Source organism: Homo sapiens, chromosome 7 (assembly GCF_000001405.40).
Source record: "Homo sapiens chromosome 7, GRCh38.p14 Primary Assembly".
Lineage (NCBI taxonomy): Eukaryota > Metazoa > Chordata > Mammalia > Primates > Hominidae > Homo > Homo sapiens.
In genome coordinates this window covers 155,408,206-155,430,288 of record NC_000007.14, presented here as the reverse complement: position 1 = coordinate 155,430,288, position 22,083 = coordinate 155,408,206, and the positions used below count along the sequence as shown (strand labels likewise).

Genomic DNA, 22,083 nt, shown 5'->3' with positions numbered 1-22,083 from the left:
CAATTCCCCAAATTCCTAGGTCCACTGCAGCTTGATGTCTTTCTTTCTTTTCAATGAAGCAATTTGTGAGATATGTGTGAAGTACAAGTCTCCATTAAATAATTTAACAATAACAAATAATATATGCAAGCACTTCTTCTTTGGGGACACACAAACTGCCTTTGTCCCAGGGATTCCCAGGGCCTTTGGGTGGAGGCGTCAGTCTGCCCACCCCACCAGGACACCATGTGTAAGGCAGCACAGTTCACACCATATAGGTGTCCCAATTTACATGCCAGTGCACGGGAGGGAGGTGGTGGGCATTCTGGGCACCTCCTGCCAAGTCCTGAAGCAGCAGAGGAAATCTGCATCCTGCACAAACTCACACAAGCACATATGGCCGAGCCCATACCTGTGGGGACACACACACGTGCATGGATGCCTCCGCTCCCATGACCCTCTGGGATTTCTCAAAAGACACTTGTCTTCACTGACTGGTGTTCCCAGGGGCTCCATCCCACACCCCCGACCTGACCCTCAGCTAACCTGCAGACATTGTACATGCCTGGAGGCTGGGATCCGTGAGCAGGCAAGAGTCAGGGTAGCTGGGAGTAAACCAGGAATGCTATCCATGGGGGCTCTGCAAAGCTCCTCAGGAGCAGGAAGCTCACGTGCACTGCTACATCCATTAAGAATATTCTCTTTAAGGTGGCTCTTTAGAATTTGCACAAAGGCACAAAGTTTGGAGGCTGCTCTGCAGAGGTCCCTGGGCCTGGACTCCTGTGCCCATGGGTTCCACATTTCCATCACTGGCACTTGTTCTAGGGCCTCCTTGCCACCTCCACTTGGAAATTGGCTATATATTTTTGATTCTTTGTAAGTCTAGTAATTTTGAATTGTATTGCAGACATTGTGAATGTCGTGTTGTATGAACTCTGGGTCTTATGGTCTTATGATAAACCTCTGGAGAATGTAGGTTTCTTTCCCTGTCTGGCAATCAATCAGTGCACGCAGTTGAGGCTGTAAGTTTCATCTTGCCTCTGTGTTCATTTTCCAAGCCATCGCTCTTTTGCTTTGTCTCAGCCGTGCCTGCTCACCGAGGGGCCAATCTGAGCGGTATACAGTGGGTTAGGATCTTAGCTCAGTTCTCAAGGCATTTGTTATGCTGCTTTGAGTGTGTCTCACACCTGTCGCTCCCGGGTTGATCAGAGACTTGGATGGGGGTTTCAGTCTCCCTGCCATTGCTCTGTTTCAGTCTCCCCTCAAACCCTTGCTCTGTTGCCACACCTGTGCAGCTTAGAGGTGCACAGCTTTGTCTGGGTTCATGCACAGGTTTAGAATATCCCCTTCCCCGTCGTCCTCCTCTCTGGGTCCCCCCACCTGCACCGACTCTATGAACACAGGGAGTGTGGCTGGGGGGACACTTTTGCAGGTTCCTTTGGCTTGAAGGCTTTCCCTGGCACTGATGTCACTCCTAGGGGGTGGCTTATCCCATCTTGCTCCATCTCTTGCCAGCTATTCTTAGTGCTTAATCTTGGAGGCCCTGTTGTATTTCCAGGTGATCCAGCTTCCATTAGCTTCTCCCACAGTGAACCTCCAAGGATGGTGCACTGACCCACACGGAGTGCCTGCGGGTGGTGGGGCGGGCCGGGAACACACTCCTGTTGCCTTCCGCCCCTCCAGGGAGATCCCCGAGTGCTCAGAACAAGACTTGGTGGCAACGTCTCCCTCTCCACAAAGCCTTTGTGAGCCGTCTCTACTAATCCAAGCGGCCTGGGTCCCCCGCGTGGTCCCTTTCTGTTTCCTCCTCTGGTTGTCCTGGTCTGTGAGTCCTACCAGGAAAGGACCTTGTCTTATTTATGGTGGCTCTGTGCAAGCATTTCCTGTGTGCTTCTCAAAGCAGGACCAAGCTGAGAGTCTGTAGCCTGACCCGGCACCTCAGCTTCTGGACCCCACAAGCTGCAGCATGAGCAAGGATGACCGGGTGAGGCCAGATGGGAAAAGGTGTGGGGTGATGTGTGAGCTGCCTCTCCACCCTGGTCCTCAGCACTTCATCCTGCAAACAAGGACCAGATCTCCTTCTGGTGCCACACTGGTTCCTGCTCCTGTGGAGGAAGGCGCCTGCCAGAAATTGCTGAATTTCCTATAGCTGCTGGGGTTTAGGAAGTCACCTTCTCACCAGCTAGCTCTTCTCTCCTCCCATGTCTAATGGGGCCAATTGAGGTGACTAGGCCCCCCTCAAGTGCAGGAAACAGCATAGCTCTGAGGAGCCGTGCCGTGGCGAGCCCCTCAGTGCATGGGGAAGTGAAGGAACAGACGACAGAGGAGCCACACGCAGTCCCCAGAGACTGGGGGGAGTCAGCGAACTCCTTCCACACAGTTCATTCCATAAATACCTTCACCCCGTGGGCACACGGCCCTGTGACAGGTGTGGGGCTATATGATCCACAAGGCAGGATTTGGGGTCAAGGTTGGCCCTGACCTTACCTAAGAACCTGGTCTGCCATGTGGGATTAGGCTGTGGGGGTTGCGGTTGGCGAGGCGAAGTTGGCACTGACCTTACCTAAGTCAAGAACCTGGCCCGTCATGTGGGATTAGACCGTAGGGAGTGTGGCTGGGGGGAACACGTGCTCAGCCCCGGTGCTGCTGCTATAACTGGGGCTGCAGTTCAGCAGGCCTGACGTTGTCTTGGAGAAGGCCCAGTGCCCCCACCCCATGCTGGAGCCCCTGCCCCCCACGCTAACAGCAGCCACACAGATGTGGACTTGGAAGGACGGCCGGGGAGCTGCTGGGGGGAGGGTTGTCTTACCGGCTTTAACTTCTTGATCCAAGAAGAACTTCACTTTTTCCTGGGTGTGGATTCATTAAGACAAGGGAGCAGCCTGACCTCCAAGCTGGTCCCCATCCGATGATGCTCCTGGGCGGAGCTCTGTGTGGAACGAGGAGTCCCCGTCCCTGAGGCTTTCATCCCGCAGGGCGACAGGACTTGCTGGAAGGCCACGGGCAGCAGTGGCCACACCCCAGTCTCCACAGCACCGAGACTGACACCCTGAGCCCTCTCTTGGTTGTTGGTCAAGTGAAGTGAAGCCAGGAAGCTCCCTGGAGGCAGAGTGGAGCACGGTGAGGCCCAGTCAGCAGTGGGTGGGGAAGGAGCCACTCCGAATGTGCTCACCGGGGGGTGTTCGGGATTCCTGTGGCTGCTGGAACAAACCACTGTTAAAAAAAAATCACCACAAAGCCAGGACTTGAAACCACACATCATCCTTCCAGGTCCTATAGGTCAGAAGCCTCTTGGGTAAGTTTTACAGACACTAAGATTTGATCACCTCTATTCTAGACAGAATGTGTTGTTGATAAGCAAAACTGGAACCAGCTGTTTGAGGCCTTCTCTAACCCCTCACCCTGTATCAGTGAACATGCTCCTGTTTTCTTTACTCACTACCTGTGTTTTTTGGGACCACGAGACACAGGAGAGGAAGGGCCCTCCCGAGGTTGCCCGTGGTTTCGGCACTTGGAGCCTGGCAGTGCCAGTGAGGAGCACCTTGACCTCCTGGCTGTGCTGGAGGCTGTAGCCAGGGTGGAAAGGGGGGCGGCTCTCAGCTGGAGACCAGCACCACGCCAAGCTGTTTGGCCAGCCCAGCACACCCACGACCCCTCTGTCCCACCCCGAAGGGATCTGGAGAACAACACTGTGGTTCCCATTTGGAGTCTCCTCCAGATTGCAATGCAGGGTGGAAGCCTGCTCTCCTCCAGCTGCACTTACTGATATGGAGTGTTACTTCCCATGAACCTTCAAATATGGGCTTCCCCAGGGACAGGAGGTGTGGAGAGAGGTGCACTGGGCTTGGGACAAGGAGGGATTCTGGTTTCATCTCTGTCATTCAGTATTTGAGTAGCTTGGGCAAATCCCACTACCTCCGTGGGCTTCCAAAATGCAGGGCTTGGATGAATTCCCTCGGCTGCAGATTCTGCTGAGGATCGCTCTCACCAGTGGTCAGGCAGAGGGGAAGTTTTCTAGGCTAATTGAGCTTTGACCCCAATTCCACCCTATCCGAGAAAGAGTCCCGATTAGTCACTTATTAGACGTCGCTTTAAATAGCACCTCAATTTGCTTCCTCACCCAGCAAGCCGGGGTCTCCATGGAGAGGCAGCTGCCCACGGGGACCTTCTCCAGTCGACATCCAAGAAGAGTCTGTCAGTAGCGGGAGCCCCTGTCTGCCCCACCAGGGATGGAACCTGCTTTCATTTCCTTTCCATGTGGGGTGATTCTCAGACTATGACAATTAACAAGGAGAAAAAACCATTTGCATTTTTCCTGGGTGTTAATGACCTTCCAAACCAATGCTCAATTGGCTCGTTTAAAGCAGTGGAGCACACATTGGCATGAATAATTCAAGGGCCAGAGTCTCCCACATGTGGGGTGAAAAGCTTATTTCTGACCTAGTTCCTACAGTTGATGAGCTTGTGTCATCACTCTATACACACAGTTTCTGCTTTTTAAGGTTTGTGTTATTTGACTGAACAATATCACAACCTACGTAAACTTAGTGGCAAGGTTTGGGGACTTAAATTGATGAAGCAGAGACCTAATTTGTTTTACATAACCTGAAGCCTTAAACTTAATTAATTTTTCATTTTGGGCACAGAGGCACCTGCTGGTTAGGTGTGATATGGCTCAAGCAGGCATCGTAAATACATAGACAGACGGAGAAGCACAGACATGCGGATGTTCAGGACCATCTCAGAGGAGTTCGGGGTGTTTGTGGCTCTGGGCTGAGGTGGGGGCTTGGGTTGTAACCAGAGGTGACCAGTGGTCAGAATCGAGAGAGAACTGTGGGCTGACAGGCAAGGATAAGGGTCTGAAGCCCACAGACAAATAGGATGATCTTTGCCCAGCACAGTGCCGGAAGGCTTCCATTCCATAGAACGGGCTCTCATCACGATCACCTGCAGCCTGCAGCTTAAATCAGGGTTTCTGGCAGGGCCTCGGGAGCCACAGTTTATAGTGATTGCCCAGGTGATTCTTATTCCAAGCTCCACTCCTTTCCCAGGTGATTCTTATCCAAGCTCCACTCCTTGCCCAGGTTTGCAGCTTGGTAGCTTCAGACAACAGAAATGTACCGCGAAGCAGGGCTGGTGCAGATGTAATTCATTAAGGTGAGGTCCTGCAGCAGAAGGGCGGGCACTGTCTCCAGGTCCAGGGCCACTAGGCTGACCCATCTGTAATGGTACAGCACGCGCCATGCTGCAGCTGTATGAGGCAGGCCGGAGGGGACCCATTAGTGTCTGCTGGGTGGATAGACTCGGTGTTTAGGCAGGATTGGTTCGAAGGAGCAGTATTGAAGAAGAGATTCATTTGCTCTTAGATTCATCAGGTGTCTGTGCACTTCTACGTACTGACTCTCTTCTCCTGCCGACGAGTGCGGTGGGGGGCCCGTGGCCCCTCATCTGCAGCCTCAGCTGGGTAAGGACATCCTCAAGGTCTGCTAATGGATAGCAAGTCTGTCCAGTCAACAGTCTCACAGTTTTTTGTTTTTGGTCAATTTAACATAATTGGTGGGATCTCACCATCCCAGACAGGGGTCGCAGTGGACCCCAAAGATGGCTGAAATAGCCAGACCCAGACAGAATCATTGACTGGTGACTCCTGGCCCTAAGTCCAGAGGCCACCTTCATGCACACACACTGTCCAGCTGCAGACCAGGCATGGCTATTGAGGTGGGCGGCCTCGGATACCCCACGTCATGGTGCCTACCCAGAAACTTCCCCAGGGAGTGCATGGTGCCCAGCTTGTCCTGGAGCCGCAACCACAATCACAACCAAGCCAAGGGGCGAGAGGTCTTGTTCGGGTTTCCCCTGAGTGCAGCTCAGGAGAGAGGGAGCCAGGACTGTTCACGCTGGAGGAGCGCACGGTGAATTGGTGGCTGCGGTCCCCACGGGACTGGCACAGGCCTCAGGCCTCCCGTCCGTGAAGACCAAACCTTGGCTGGAAGTCTCGTCTGAGGCTGGTCAGCTTAAGTCTCATCTTCAGTGGCACCTGTAATGGACAGGCGGGCAAATGGGGTGGGGGGGCAGGCCAAATGACTTGCAGAATGAAAATTGTTTTTTGAGCTGTTAATAACAGCCCAGGCCCACCCCATGCCCGACCCTGCTGATGTAGACGAGGCCAGACTGTGATGAACGAGGGTGTCCTGGAGGGGAACGGAGTTCCCGGGGCTGGGGCATCCTGTGTGCTGGCCCCTCAGCTAGAAGCGGGCAGCTTCCTGGGCCCTCACCACGGTCCTGGCAATAGGCGGGCTGGTCCCAGTGGTGGGGGATGGCCGTGCTTCCATGGATTGACCCTTGCCTTCTTGCTGCTCTCTAAACCCTACCCTTCTGTGAACTTTCCTTTCTCAAGCCCAGCACCTGGGCAGCTCCCTGGAGACCTCATCACCTGGGCAGCTCCCTGGAGACCTTATCTCAGGCCAAAGGAGCCAGACCCCACTGGACACGGGGAGCTGGGAAGGCCTGAGAGGCCGCTTTCCACCCCATCCTCAGGGCCCTGCATGGCCAGTGCCGGCTGTGGCTGCCCATCTCCTTTGCTTCTGCCGAGGGTGACTCTGGGCAGTTTTCCCCAGGACTCCCCGTGGCTGAAGGCGCCCTTGGCAGTGCCCCCTGCCCGGCCCCCTCTGCTTCCCCGTTCTGCTTCTCCCACACTCTGACCAGTCTCCTGGGGTCACTTCCTGAATACGTCCTTGCACACAACTCCTGGCCTCAGAATCCATGGCTCCATTTTACAGATGAGGAAACTGAGGCTCACAGTGATGAAGTCGGCAGTGCAAGGTTACTTGGCCGTGGAAAGCCATGCTGGGAGGCAAGCTCGAGTCTGGGTAAGATTCCTCCCACTCCCTCGCCTCCACCTGCCAGAGCTGGAGTGGGGACCTGGGTCTCAGTGCCTTTCCGAGGCCTGACAGCAATGTGTTCTCCAGCCATTCATCTCCACAGGGCTCTGTTGGAGCACAGAGCGGTGGGGGTGGTGGAGATAAGGCCGCAGTGCAGGTACAGTTTGGGAAGCATTCTGCGATGGGGCTGGAAGGCCTGGGGCTGCTCCAGGGAGGGCGGGCCGGGGCTCTCTGGCAGGTGGTTGGGCCGATGCTTTCCCAGGCTCACAGAGGTAGCAGGGATGCAGCCCACCCTTTAGCACCAGGCAGGGCTGTGGATGGTCGCCAATGTGGAGGAGTGCCCAGTATGACATCTCAGTTTCCAAATGTCGAGGTTGCTTCAAGGTTGAGGGTGTGTAGGGCGGGAGGGCCCTCTACCAGGGGGCACTGGACAGCACCCAAACTGAGTGCACTGCCCAGGATATCACAGGCCACCAACTGCACATACACAAAATACAGCAAATGCCTGGAGACAAAAAATGCAGCGAGTGAGCCTGAAAAGGCCCCACGGAAGAGCACGCTCATTTTTAGAACACGTTCCCTTGTGGGCCCTGCCGTCTCCTAGTGCAGGAAAGGCCCTGAGAAGTCCTGCAGGCTCCTGCTGCACCCTGCGGGGTCCACACACACCTCATCTGGGAGCCCAGCCGCCTCTGACACGTCTCCTGGCACATCCTGCTCACTTCCTCTCTTTTATATTTTCCTTCTCCCAACAGGAGCCCCGGAGTTTTATTTCACACAGTATTCCCCGCACTTGTTCTGGGAGTGTTAATTCATGTTCCCTCAAAATAAGAGTTTCATGTTCAGGTGAGGAGGTCGTGGAGCTCCAAGGGCAGTACGGTGCTCCCTCACATCATCTCCTCATTTTCTGAGGGTCTCTGGAGGGGCGATACACAAAGTGCTCCAGGGTTTGAGTGGCACAGGCTGCTCCAGTGGATGCTGGCCTCAGGCAGGCTGCACCCCCAACGCTGCTGGGATGGGGGTAGAGGGTGGGGACAGCCGCCAAGCAGTGGGGGAGGCAGTGCTCGGGGGCTGGGCTGGTGGCAGTTTGCCAACAGTGCTAACCAGCAGTAACCAGCATGGCAGCACTGGGTGTCAGCCTCGGATCCCAGCTCCTCAAGACAGCTTGGGCAGTGCTGCTGGTGGCTCCATACTGAGTCACGAAGCCTGAAGAAAATGCGGCCCCTTCTCTCCCTGTGCTGTCTGCGGACGTCAGCACCCATCTTTCACACGGAGATGATCATGGCTCAGGTTACCTCTAGCCCTTCCATTTTAGGAGGCTACACTACAAAGCTATAAATGCACTCACAGCTCTGCCCAGGGTGTGCGGGTGAACTCCACCCCCCAAAGCCCACAATGGAACACGAGTGACAGGGTCAACCTCATGAATAGGTGAATTCAAGTGTAGTTTGATAACACAGGTAAGTACTCATGATAGGGCAAATCTTGATTTAATTTTTGTTAGTCACTCAAGCCCTTTGTAGATGCATGATGGTGACAGTAATAAGAGTTGACATGCATTGAGCATTTCCTGTGTGCCGAACAACAATCACATTCTACCTAAAATATGTAAGCTTCACAACTATACTATTATTCTCAATTTATAGACAAGGACATGTGTAGTTTTAAGAGTTTAAATTACTTGACTACATTTATACAGCTAGTGAGTCTAGATCCTTCTGGTCCCGGAGGTGAGAATCCTAATGGCCATGTATCTTCCATTCTTGTGGTTGTGTCCCACAAAGCTGCTGGCAGCCAAAACTAACTTCCCTGTACAGAAGAAAAATATTAGCCAGAGAGTCAGAAAATACATGAGCTGCACATAGTAGGTGCTCGCTGTACACGTGTTGCTGTGATTATTCCTGAGCACGGCGAGAAGGACAGGTGTAATGGCTTAGTTTGCATCCTCCCCTTTCTAGGTCTGATGCCAACAGGCAGTCCTGCCAGCAGTGACCTGCAACTCCACTGGATGTGGCAGGCAGGATCTGTTTCCCTGGCCATTTTTCGGAGAAGGTCCAGCTGAGAGGCTCAGACAGCCATAATGGATGGGATCTTTTTAGAGGTACCGAGAATGCCATGGTTTCAACCCAAGAAGACAGCAGGGCCATTAGCAGAAGTGAGACAAGGAGCTGGCTGGAAAGTGAACATCACAGGCAGAAGGAAGAGGCGTGGCAGGTGCCCCAAGTGACAGAGGACTAAGGAGGGCAAGACCCCATATGAGAGATGTGGACTCGGCCAGCAATGGCACAGGTGAGTCTGTGAATGCCCTCAGAGAGTGGTTCTGAAACGCACACTTGTATTTTTCAGGGTTCTTCAGAGATACAGAAGCAATAGAATGTGTGTGTGTGAGTGTGTGTGTGTATGTGAGTGTGTGTGTATGTGTGAGTGTGTGTGGTTTATTATAAGGAATTGGCTCATCTATTTCAGGGGCCTAGAAGGTCCACATTCTGCTGTCTGCACACTGGAGACCCAGGAAGCTATGGTGTGGGTCAGTCCAAGACTGAAGGCAGAGAACCAGGAGCGCTGATGGCATATGTCCCCACCTGAAGGCAGGAGAAGATAGATGTCCCAGCTCAAGCAGTCAGGCAGAGAGTGAATTCTCTGTTGCCCAGTCTTTTGTTCTATTCAGGCCCAAATGGATTGGATGAGGCCCACCACACTGGGGAGGCCATCTGCTTTTCTGAGTCCATAGATTCAAATGCTAATCTCATCTGAAACACCCTCATAGAAACACCCAGACCATGTTTAGCCAAATATCTGGGTACCCTGTGGCCCAGTCAAGGTGACACATACAATTACCCATTGTGAGACTCATGGGAAAGCTGTGTAAATCATGAGACATCACTTTTGTTGGCAAGAGAACCAGAAGAGCCACTGGGGAGGGAGGCTGAGGACCCTCATGTGCCCCAGGAACATGCAGAAGAGCAGTGGGAGGGCAGCTCTCCGCCTGCAAGGAGTTTGATCATGAAATCAGGGCAAGGGCCCTCGGCAATTTGCTCGGAAATTTGCACTGTGGGCAGGGGAGGCAGCCTTGCCAGGAGCCTTTGCCACGGCCACCTGGCCTCATGGGAAGCCTGTCCATGTAGCTACTCATCCCTGAGCTGACCGTGACTGAGCCTGCTCAGTTGTGCTGGGGCCCAAGAGGCTGCTTCTGTGAAAACAGAGAACCAAGCTTTGCACATCTTTGCTTTGTAACTAGAGGGACTGTCTATCCTCAAAGATTTATGTTTGAAGCCCTTCTCTTGGCGCGTTTTCCTGATGTGTGGCTGCCGTCTCCTCAGCTAATTCTCCCAAACCCTCCTCATCTCTCTTGCCGGCTTCTCTGTGCTCCTCTCTTGTTTGGGAGCCGACGAGTGAGCTTTGATATCAGCTCTCACAGCTGGGATTCAGGCCACTTCGCAGATGAGGGGCAAACCTGTCATGAAGTCCTTAGCCCTGAGCCTTGGAGAGTTTAAGGGTAAGCCCTAGGTATTTATTAAACCACAGGCCTGACAGGAAAAAGGTATCTTTAAAAACATAATAAAATTCCTTTAAATATATCCCCTGTCCCGGTTTGCTGAGTTCTTAGAGGCCTGGCTAAGGTACCCAGAGGCAGTAAGTCCTTCCCCTGGCTCATCGCCTCCCTGGTGGCTCTGGAGACTTAAGTGGGGAGGAGAATTCTGGGCTTTCTGCAATGTACCCCATGCTTTCAGGGCTTTGCTTACTTGGAGCTTGGAGCTTTTGGGTGTGTGTGTGTGTTTGTGTGCACATGTGTGTGTTCATGTGTAAATGCATGTCTATGGATGTGTATTGTGCATGCGTGAGCATACGTGCATGTGTGTACATGGCTGCATTGTGTGTTTGCACGTGTGTGTGTGTGGGTGTTCATGTGCAAGTGCGTGTGCATGTCTATTTTTGTGTGAGCATGGTGTGTAAACACAAATGCCTATGTATGCATGCGTGTGGCATGTGTGCATATGTTTTGGTCATGCGTCCATGTGGAACGGGAACACGGCTGTCCTCCTATGTTTCTCTCCCCAGGCAGAGGGAGATCCTCTCATGCAGATCTGATCTGGGATAATGGGATCAGAAGGCCCTGCTCCATGGGTCCATATGGGAGTAGCTGCCCGCCTGCCCCCACTCTCCCTGCACACAGAGCTGTGGCCCAGCCTTCCACCGACATGGGGATGAGCCAGTTGGCAGTGTTTGAGGACAGATTTCATATCCAGCAACTGGGAGCCCTGCCTCAGGCTCGGCTCCGCCTGCCATGCCACAGAGCAGGACTTGGGTGCTGGCGGCGGGAAGCCCTCATCACATGGTTCTGGGGCCTTGGAGAAGACCCTCCACAGCCCTCCTGCTCCCTCCTCAGCAGCCAGGTGCACAGACCAGAGACTGTCCCATGGGTGACTCCCTGCGTTGGAAGAGAAGCGCTCCTTCCTCCACCTCCTCACAGAGGAGGAGACTGAAACCAAGATAAATCAAGGGACGTGCCCAGCTCCACAGGGACTCACCGGTGGAGTACGGAGAAGAACAAAGCCTCAAGTCATTAGTTATGAATTTTTTAACATAACCACACGTTAAACATAAAATGTAGAGCAATTTTTAAGCCTTTTTGAGGACTAGGAGTTCACGCTGCATCTCCCGTGGGCAGGATGGGAGGAGGGCAAAGTGCAGGATGCTAACAGTTCCCTGCAGGGGAAGAGCCCAGGGGCTCCAGGTGCCTGGGTGGAGCCCAAAGGTCAAGGGGACTTCACCCCCAGGCCCACTGCCTGGAAAAGTCATCAAATAGAGGAGGAAAGCGCTGAGCACAGATAATGCACCAAAATGGCCTGGTCACAGCAGGGAGAGAAAGCAGCTGGGCAGGGAGGGAGAGCAGCCAGGCAGGGAGGGAGAGCAGCCGGGCAGGGTTGCGCATGTGCCGGTCTGTAGAGCGGTCTGCGGTGCGGTCTGTCGTGCGGTCTGCGGTGCGGTCTGTAGTGCTTTCCAGATGTGAGGCTCCAATAAGCTTCCTGTATGAGCTGGGCATGGAAATGCCCCTTCGGATCCCTCCAGGGAAGGCCCTGCCCTCCAGCATTGGGAGAGCAGCCTCAGATACCTCCAGCTGTCCCTCCTTCAGGCTGCCTCAGCTGCAGATGGTCACCTTACCCGGGACCAGCTGTGGGGGGTATGAATGCCCAGCCCTTCCCGCCCACCTGCAGCAACTCTAACAGGCCCCACAGCCCAGGGCTCCCTGGGGGTGCCGAGGCTGGGCCAGGGTGCATCTTGCTGGGCTTCTCTCTCTGCCCCTTTCCCAGGCATGGGTCCCTGATCAATATCCTGTGCTCTAAACTCCATCTTAGCATCTGCAAGCAAGTGGGGGACAATACTCTGTCTCAGCTTCAAAGAAGACGGAGAACTGATAAGGGCGAATGCCAAGACTGGGCCAGGGAGGGTGCAGCAAAGAGCCACGGCAGGTGGGAGGAGTGGGGGGGCTGCCCCTGAACAGTGGGGAGCAGGGCTGGGGAGGACGGGGCCCTACAAGCCTGGGCTACACCCAGGGACCAATTCCTAAGCAGAAAAACCACAAGCAGTGAGCCCGGAGGGGTTGGGCCTGGGGTTAAGGGGAGAAGGAGAGACGGTGAGAGCAGTCAGACATCCCACTCACGGGCAGGGCATGGAGGGCTTGGCTGGGCGCCATCTCCCAGATCCAGGAGGAGCAGGAGGAGGCCAGAGGTGGCTGCGCCATTTCTTTCCTCCACCTGGCCCAGGACTTCCTGACTCTGAGAAACACAGCCCTCTAACTGGCCAAACAAGGTGTAGGTGATGAAAACATGTCCCTTTGCCACTGGGGCAGCTGTCAACAGCATTAAGGTGTGTGTTATCTTTTGAGCTCCATGTTCCCTGTGGTGAAGAAGGCTGGATGCCTCCAAGCAGGGCAGAGAGAGATGAGAGCAAGGGCCAGAGAAACAGGGAAGAGAGAGATGGGAGCAGGGGCTGGAGAAGGAACTTGCCTGAAGCCTTCTCTTCTGAATCTGCATATAACTTCATATAGAAAGAGAACATACGTATTGATAAGAGGAAAATGATTCAATAGAAAAAAAAAAAAGGGAAGGATCTGCACAGCTAATTTCACATGGGAGGAAATCCAGATGAAAGCGATGCAGGACAGGCAAACACCAAAATCGGGGCTTGCCCAGGAGGGAAGAACTCCAGGGCGGGCCAGGGGTGTGAGGCAGAAGCTTTTGTGGAAGCCCCGTGCACAGCGGCGGCAACGGAGGGACTGCTCTTGGTAAAGCAGGGCTCCCCCATAGGCAGTGCGCCCAGGGTAGCAGCTTAGCGGCAGGTCTGCAGTCATGTTTAGGTCCACTTTTAATTATATGCAAATTAGGGGTGGTTTATGCAGAACTTTTAGGAAAAGGGTGGTAACTTCCGGGTTGTCAGGTTATTGAAGGGGTGGTACTCCGGGTATTGCCGTGACAATGGTAAACTGACATGGCACACTGGTTTTCTGCCCCTCCCTGTTTCAGCTAGTCTTCAATTTGGTCCTGTGTCCAAGAGCCCCGCCTCTGGACTCAGGTCCCACCTCCTACCTCAAAAGCAAAGGTCTGAAGGTGGTCCCACCACGCTAGCAAAGAGGGAGATGGAATTGAGGCCTACTGAAGTGCTCCACAGCCTAACACTCACTAGCAGAAGCCTTGTGGCCTTTGCTGATATTGAGGAATTAACGGGATTGCACCTAGGTTGCTAAAAACTCTTGGTGCCTTAGAAATGCGTATGGGTGTCTGTTGGTGAAATACCATAATGTTTGGCAGGGATTTGTTCTAAATATGTTCCAGAAAATGGCCAGGGAAACAGATGCAATACAATTAGTAAAAGCTGATGGTGGTCGCAGCTGGGTGGTGAGTATGGTTCGTTGTTCTGTTCTCTGGACTTTTGTGTATGTTTGAGATTTTCCTTAGAAAGAGTTGAGAAAAGAACAAAGAACCATACGCCTGTCTGGTGAGAATGTGGGCAACAGTTCTCTCACACAGTCTGCTAAAATGAGGTCATGAGGTGGGGCCCTGGTCCAATCTGACTGTCCTTACGAGAAGAGGCGAGTGCACGGACACACAGAGGGGTGGCCACAGGAGGATACTGGGAGGAGACAGCGTCCACAAGCCACGCAGGGAGGCCCCAGGAGAAACCAGCCCTGCCCACACCCTGATCTCAGACCTCCAGCCTCTGGGGCAGGGAGAAAACAAACTTCTGCTGTCTATACCACCTGGTCAGTGATATTTTGTTAGGTAGCCCTCGGAAGCTGGTATATGGACCCCATGTTTATAAGAACAAATAATAGCAAAAATCAGTCTACAGAAGCATGGATACACTTGGATTGTGCGTGTTTGTGGTGGTGGCAGAGGTGGGGGGTCTGGGGAGGGTCTCCACTCACCTTCACATTTTGTGCATTGCTTCCCGCCGGCATGCGTTACCTTTGTCACTTAAATAACAAATGGCAATTGTCTGAGAATCAAAAAGAAAAAAAAGAGAAATGAAAGGAAAATGATTCTGGACCATGTATCAGGACAGTGGGATAAACTGAGGCTGCAAATTTCTGGAACTTTCCAAAAATTCCATATAGAACTACCTTTAAAAAAATTTAATTGGGTATATAAAGTGGAAATTTATAGAAAAAGGAAAATGTTCCCTTTTGCTAATGCTTCTTGCAGGTACAGAGTGAGCCTATGATGTTTACCATAGGGCTGTGACACTGTGCTATATATGTGATTATATATACTTTGGCTTGCTCATCATAGTACCACATTTTGTCTTTCAATAAGGAGGACATTTTCTTGTAGTTCTGCAGAGAATCTGAGAATCACAGTCTTAAGAGGAATCCAGTTCCAAACCTCAAAACTTCCTACAGATTCTTTCTCCCTCTTGGCCTTGAAGCCTTTTGCCCCTGGCAAGTCAGTGAGTCTCTCATTTCACCTCTCATGGGGAATGAGTCTGACGCTGCCCATGCTCCCAGCCCGGTCCTCTAAGGCCTGGTCGGGAGGGTGGGGGTGCAGGACACATTTGTCCACTCACCTCTGGAGCAAAACTCAGCAACATGCTGGGCTTCAAGTCCAGTGATTCGGAAGGATGACAGTAACCCGTGTGGGAAGCCCCGGGGCCCGGCGCAGCCATGCACTGGTTCTTTGACGTCCTGTCTGCTGCTTCTGCTTTGCCTCTTTGTGCTTTAATAGGACACCGCGATTTTTCATTATAAAATCCCCCAAGTGCATAATGTTTTGAAATCATTTATGAGAATAAAGAACCGCCACATGCTGTGAAAGGAAAATAAATCTTGGGGCTCCAAAATCACTAAGCTAAAGGGAAAAGTCAAGCTGGGAATTGCTCAGGGCCAACCTGCCTCCCACTCTATTCAAAGTCACCCTTCTGCTCACTGAGATAAACGCATCTCTTGTTGCCTCCTTTGGAGAGGCTAATCAGAAACTCAAAAGGATGCAACCATTTGTTTCTACCTGTGACCTGGAAGCCCCTTTCCTGCTTCCTGTCTTGGCTTCAAGTTGTCCCGCCTTTCTGGACCGAGGTCCCGCCTTTCTGGACCAAGCCAATGTTCATCTTGCATATGATGATTGATGTCACTGAGGCCCCGCCTTTCCAGACCAAGCCAGTGTTCATCTTACATACGTTGATTGATGTCACTGAGGCCCTGCCTTTCTGGACCAAGCCAATGTTCATCTTACATAGGTTGATTGATGTCACTGAGGCCCTGCCTTTCCGGACCAAGCCAATGTTCATCTTGCATATGTTGATTGATGTCACTGAGGCCCCGCCTTTCCGGACCAAGCCAATGTTCATCTTACATATGTTAATTGATGTCGCCGAGGCCCTGCCTTTCCGGACCAAGCCAATGTTCATCTTGCATATGTTGATTGATGTCACCGAGGCCCCGCCTTTCCGGACCAAGCCAATGTTCATCTTACGTATGTTGATTGATGTCTCATGTCTCCCTAAAACGTATAAAACCAAGCTGTGCTCTGACCACCTTTGGCACGTGTGGTCAAAACTTCTGAGGCTGTGTCACAGACACACATCCTTAACTTGGGCAAAATAAACTTCGTAAATTGACTGAGACCTGTCTCAGATTTTGGGGTTCACAATGCTAAACACTAAAATCGAAGTTTTAGAGTCAAACATGTTTCCGTTTCCTTAGAAACCAACATTTTAGGGGAAAAAGGAGAGATAAAATCATGTATTTTTATTTCTAAGCATTTATATTAGTTTTAGACTCCGCCCATGAGTGCTGGTTATTCCCTGGAGCTCATGAAGTGGCTCATGGGGTCTTGGTTGCTTCGTTGATGAGTCAGACATAGATGAAGACCTTGTGGTTGCTCTGAAAAAAGCGTCAGAAGAACAATGGTTATCGTTACTCATTTTAATCCCTGGAATTGAAGCTCCAAGGGCAGAGACTTTTGTCTGTTTTGTTCACTGCAGTGCCCCAAATAGAGGAGGCCTCAGTAAATGTCTGTCTAATGAGTGCATGAACACATGGATGACAAACACTTGACAAGATTGCGTTCTTCCTGAACTGGACAAGGCCGAGTCCTCCACGCGCTCATTCATTCTATCCATCGTTCCTGCTCCTCCCTGACCGCCAGCTCCTAGCACAGCACTCGGCTCACAGCAGGCACTCACCCAGTATCTGCGGAATGAGTGAACATCACAAAGGAAAGTTAGGGACCCCTCCCGTGGACTTGCTCCCCACCCAGGTGGGCTCCCAGCATTGGAGAAAGAAGTCGGTGAGGCGTCAGTGCCACCCCTGCTGCCCAGCGGCTGCTTTCCTTAGAACCTCACCTGGACGAGAAACCGCTTTGAGAGGTGAGGGCTTCTCTGCCTGCTGAGCTGGTGCTCTGCCTCATTCCTGGAGGACGGCCGGAGCACCCTCACCGCCCTGGCACCCTGCCTTTCCTGTGCTTGTCCACCGGGCCCACCAGCCTCTCTGACCCCAGGGCCTGTCCACTCCCTGACCAGCCACCAGGAACCGTCCACAATGAACGCCTCCCTTCCCCAGAGACCCTCGTCATCATCAGAATCACAGCCACCATTGATGCCCAGCTACTACACGCCTGGCAGGACACACATGTCCCATCAGCCTCAGAGCCAGGGCCTGAGGCACACGGGTTACCCCTAGGTCATGGACGGGAACAGCAACCACTCCCTGCAGTGACCGCATCTCAGGGTGCGGCTCCTCCTCGGTACCTGGTGTGGCTGCTCTGGTTCCTCCCCTGTTGTCACCACAGCAGCCCAGAACGGGTCCCCTTCAGCCTGTTCCCCTGTCCTTCCTCACCCTGCTGCTGGAGTAAGCCTTCTAAGAAGTGAGCCGGTCCCCATGGCTCACAGAATGGATTGCAAACTCCTCAGAGGGAATGGCAAAGCTGTGGGTGCCACGCGCCTGCCCTCCCAGCCTGGCTCCCAACACCCCTGCACCACACACTGTGCGGCAGGTGCACTGGTCCCCGGCAGCTGTGACTTCCCAGGGGACCACCTCTCCCTTTCACCTTCTCTGCCAGGCAGATGCGAGTCTCCGGACTTGATCAAGCGCCCTCTAGGGGGCTTTCCTGTGCCTGCAGACACAAGGCACAGCAGCGCTCCCACGTCCTCCCTGGCAGGGTGTGCACACCCGATGCCACCTTCCATGTCAGGATATTGGAATCATTCGGGTCCACATCCAGGTCTGCCGCGTGATGCTGAGGTTCTCCAGGGCCGGGGCAGGGCCTGGGTGATTCCAGGTCCCAAGCCCTCCAGGCACCTCCTGCATGGGATGGAGCCACGCTCTACACGCTGTCCCTGTCTGCAGAGGTGACATCTCACTGTCGTCACAGGAACGACATGCAGCATAGAGAGGCAAGAATTGCTTCCGGCATGTGGAGACCTGGCTCTTCCACATGCAGCTGGGGGGCCTGAGGCATGCAGTCTACCCTGCTGTGCCTCTGTTTCTCCAGGGGTGACAGAATGAGGTGAGAACATTCCTGACTATTCTAAGCATCCAAGGAGGGATGCCCAGGGATGCCCGGGCTGTGAGGCCCTGGGGTGGGATGGCCTGCTCTCGTCTCTAACGCCCTGCCTTGCTCCGGACACCTCTCGCTTCCACGCTATTTGTGTTGCGCTTCTGGCTTCTCAGACCTTGTTGCAGGCTTAGTATGTGTGAGTCTCACCCCGTCACGTGACATGGGCAAAGCATCATCACTCCACTTCACAGGCAAGGAGGATCTGCAAGGGACAAGTGACGCAGTCAGGCCCCAGCACTTGTTGGTGGCAGAATCCAACTCAGACCCGGGGCTCCTCTTTCTCATTTAGCTCCTTTGATTTCTGTGTGGCCGGGTCCTGGCAGGGGACCACCTGCATTCTCATAATAATACCAATGATGATGGCCATGATGATGGTGATGAAGATGACGATGATGATGGTGATGATGATGGTGATGAAGATTACGATGACGATGATGGTGATGATGATGGCATTGAAGATGATGGTGATGATGATGGTGATGAAGATGATGGCAATGAAGATGATGGTGATGATGATGGCCATGATGATGGTGATGATGATGGCTAACTTTTACTGAGCATGTTGCTATGCCGAATATTCATATTATTTCAGTTAAGCTTCGCAGCAGCCTTATGAGGTTGATACTATTATTATCATCCCCATTTCCTAGACCAGAAAACTGAGGCACAGAGAGACTGAGTAACTCCCCAGATCACACTGTTGGCTGGAGGGGTCAGCCCTTGGTCGCTCTGTGGCTCCAGCAATGTGGTGGATGGGTGGTGGTCATCTTTGGGGCTGACAGTTGGGTTTTAGGGCATATGTTTAAGACTGTCAAATAAGGGGGAGGCACTAAGGCACCTCCACATCTGCAGTGAGTGTCTGCTGTGGGTGAGCCCTGTGGGGCCTCAGTGGTAGGTGGGGGACGGCACATTAGGGCTGGGCTTTGCAAGGGGTCTCTGGAAGGCCTTCTGAGGAAGGCTCACCGAGTTCCTCAGAGGGAGGCTGTGGGAAAGCAGGAGGGGAGAGACCCCCCAGATGACCTGGAGGGACCCCCTCTTCCTGGGAAAAGGAGGTAAGAGTGGTGGGGAGGCCTTGGTCGGGAACTGGCAAAGGTCACAGTGAGGAAGAGGCACATTACGGGCCCTGGAGCAAGGTCACAGTGGTTAGTGAGGAGGCAGGGAGCCCCAGGGGACTCCTGGCCCAAGAAGAGGGAGGAAACTTGGGGGTCTCTATTATTAGATGTTGGCAGAACAATGGCTTCCCCATGATGTCCATGATCAAATCCCTAGAACCTGTGGGTCTGTTGCCTTGTGTGGCCCGGGGGACTTTGCAGATGAGACTGAGGCCCTGGAGACAGGAGAGTGTCCTGGGTCTTTCCTAGCTAAGGCCAGGGGCAGGTGTGACTAGGAAAGATGGCCAGACAGAGGCAACTTTGCTGCCTGTGAAGATGGAGGAAGGGACCATGTGCTAAGGAATGTGGGCAACCCGAGAAGCTGGAAAAGGCAGGAAACTGTTCCCCTCCCAGAGCCTCCAGAAGGACCCAGCCTGGCCAACACCTTGACCTTAGCCCAGTGAGACCTGGGCCGGCCCTCTGGCCTCCGGGACTGTAAGGTAATGCATGCGTGCTGTTCCAAGCCACTAAGCTTGTAATTTGTTACAGCAGCCACAGGAAACTAGGAAACTGATACAATATGCAACAGGGCTTCCAGCCAGGAGCTATCCCCCAGTTGGCCAGGTCTGGAGAAGCGGGGGCTGCATTCCTATTCATGGTAATTACAAGAAGAAGGGCATCTGGCGAGGAATGTCATCTCCCCTAAGGCAATGCAACTTACAAGGACTAGCCTGCTTCTGGGACAGGGGAGCAGAGGGGATGGGTTACCCCTCAGATCTCTGCAGCCCTGCTTCCAGGAGAGATGCTATCTGAGCAATTTCCTCTGCATGGTGCGGTGCAGGTAAGTCATCAGCCAGGTGACGCAGGGCAGGAAGGGGAGACTTGACTCCGTGGCTTCAGACGCGGCCATCTGTGCATTCCTGCTGACCCTTGGCTCTCTCCTGACCCTTGGCTCTCTCCTTAGCATGGGAGCATGATCCCCGCGTCACCAGGCTGCTGGCTGGCCCAGGTGCAGGGTCCTCAGGGAGTCCCAAAGGGTGCGTGAAGTGGAGCCTGGGCATTGGAGCGTGGCCCCTCTCCAAGGATACCTGTGCGCCTGGACCAGGCCCGTCCTGCGCCCCCTCCCCGCGCCCCCTCCCCGCATGAGCGTGGGCAAGGCAGGGAAGCAGGTGGGGGATACAAAGGGTAAGCACATGCATGCATTCACACAACACACTCTTCTATACACACAGACACCTGCGCTCTCACATGCGTGCGCACACACCCTCACAAACACATTCACACACAGACACGCACAAGCACACACACAAGCACCGACACACTCACAAGCACAGGTACACTCACACACAGAGATACACTCACACAAGCACACACAAGTACACTCACACACAAGCACAGACACGCAAGCACACTCAGACACACGTGCAGACACACAAGCACACACACACCATCCTGAAACCATTTCAAAGTCACTGAACCACCCGGACTGCCACTCAAAGCTATGGCCTGATGGCTCTGAGCAACCGAGTCCGCTTGGGTTTCGTTCTTGATCTTTTCAAATGAAACCCCTGCACCCTGGGAGTCTGTCTGTGCGGCTCCTGGCCCCTGGCTGAGGTGCTGAGCAAACACCAACCAGGTGAGAGCCAGGTGAGCACAGCCTCGGGAGGAGGGACTCTGCGGATACTGGGGGCCAGGCTAGGAGGGGGCAGCCCCGTGAGCCCACAGCCCGCCTCGCGTGCTGCGCTCTGCATCCCCCAGGAGACGTGCCCCCACCAGTGTCTCATGGCACAGAAGCGGCGGCAGAGGCTGGGACACGGTGGCCCCCTTGCTGCAGGGCGCTGCCTGTTGGTGGCCACGCAGGGCTTGCAGGGTGTCCTCCACCCTCCCTCAAATCCCTGTGACTGCCCAGTGCTTCTCTCTGAAGGGCTGCTCTGTTCACCCTTCCTGTCTGCTGTGGAAGTCCAGCACAACACGTCAAGTGCACAACATCACGAAAGTCTGCCTGCGCGCCCACCTACCCATGACCTGGACCTAGATCCAGCTGTTCCCCTCGGCAGGCCGGCTGCCCTCCGGCCTCGGCAGTCAGTTCCCTTCCCCACTGCGGCCAGGACTCCACAGCTGCGCCACAGACAAGCTTTGACAGCCGTGAGCGGCACTATGGGTTAGCGTGAAGGCAGTAGGGGGTTCCTGCCCCACCCCAAGGAATTCCCCGCCGTAGGTGCCACTGTGTCTGGAACTTCACTATTACACACTCATTCCTTTAGGCGATTTCTCCTTTATTCCCAGGAGGTACAGCAGGTCAAGAACATCTACACTAAGGGGTTGACAACTGTCAGGTCCCGAGGGGCGCCGGGCCAGGCAAGGAGACGGTGGCTGGGGCGGGAAGAAGCAGAGAGCCCTGGAGGGAAGGTGGAGCCGTCGCTGCTCTCTCCAGCTCAGGGTGGCCTGCCACACTCCCACACCGCACACTCCCATAACCCACACTCCCACACCACACATACCCACACCCGACACTCCCACACCCGACACACCCACACCTCAAACTCCCACACCGGACACTCCCACACCCCACACTCCCACACCCCACACTCCCATAACCAACACTCCCACACCACACACACCCACACCCCACACTCCCACACACCACACTCCCACACCCCACACCCCACACTCCCCACCCCACACTCCCATAACCAACACTCCCACACCCCACACTCCCACACCCCACACTCCCACACCCCACACTCCCACACACCACACTCCCACACACCACACTCCCACACACCACACTCCCACACCTCAAACTCCCACACCCCACACTCCCACACCCCACACTACCAAACCACACACTCCCACACCCCACACCCCACACTCCCACGCCCCACTCTCACACTCCTACACTCCACACTCCTACACCCTACACTCCCACACCCCACACTCCCACACCTGACACTCCAACAACCCACACTCCCACACCCCACACTCCCAAACCCCACACTCCCACACCCCACACTCCACACTCCCACACCCCACACTCCCACGCCCCACTCTCACACTCCTACTCCCACACCCACACTCACACTC

General features: G+C 54.0%; 2 long non-coding RNA genes across 3 annotated transcripts in view, besides 1 other annotated feature; one reads left to right on the top strand and one right to left on the bottom strand.

Annotated features, from left to right (window-relative positions):
* EN2-DT (EN2 divergent transcript) overlaps nucleotides 1–9,083 on the top strand; it is a 35,913-nt gene extending 26,830 nt beyond the window's left edge. The window contains exon 3 of the long non-coding RNA NR_186580.1: nucleotides 8,816–9,083. This is a non-coding gene — a long non-coding RNA (EN2 divergent transcript). The remainder of the gene's footprint in view (nucleotides 1–8,815) is intronic.
* A 2,376-nt stretch (nucleotides 9,084–11,459) lies between these two features.
* On the bottom strand, nucleotides 11,460–15,589 carry LOC105375594 (uncharacterized). Of its 2 annotated transcripts, none has more exons than XR_928239.3 (4): nucleotides 15,359–15,586; nucleotides 14,922–15,070; nucleotides 14,284–14,354; nucleotides 11,460–11,893 (listed from the first exon to the last, which is right to left on the bottom strand). It is a non-coding gene; the product is annotated as an uncharacterized LOC105375594 (long non-coding RNA). The 2 variants fall into 2 exon arrangements; XR_928238.3 differs by lacking the exon at nucleotides 11,460–11,893 and adding an exon at nucleotides 12,767–12,896 and having other exon boundaries at nucleotides 15,359–15,589.
* Nucleotides 21,053–21,775: an enhancer, noted in NCBI's record as "H3K27ac-H3K4me1 hESC enhancer chr7:155201209-155201931 (GRCh37/hg19 assembly coordinates)". NCBI's record gives its function as "activates a minimal SCP1, AML or CMV promoter by ChIP-STARR-seq in primed H9 embryonic stem cells {active_cell/tissue: H9 hESC(primed)}" and the evidence as "EXISTENCE:reporter gene assay evidence [ECO:0000049][PMID:30033119]".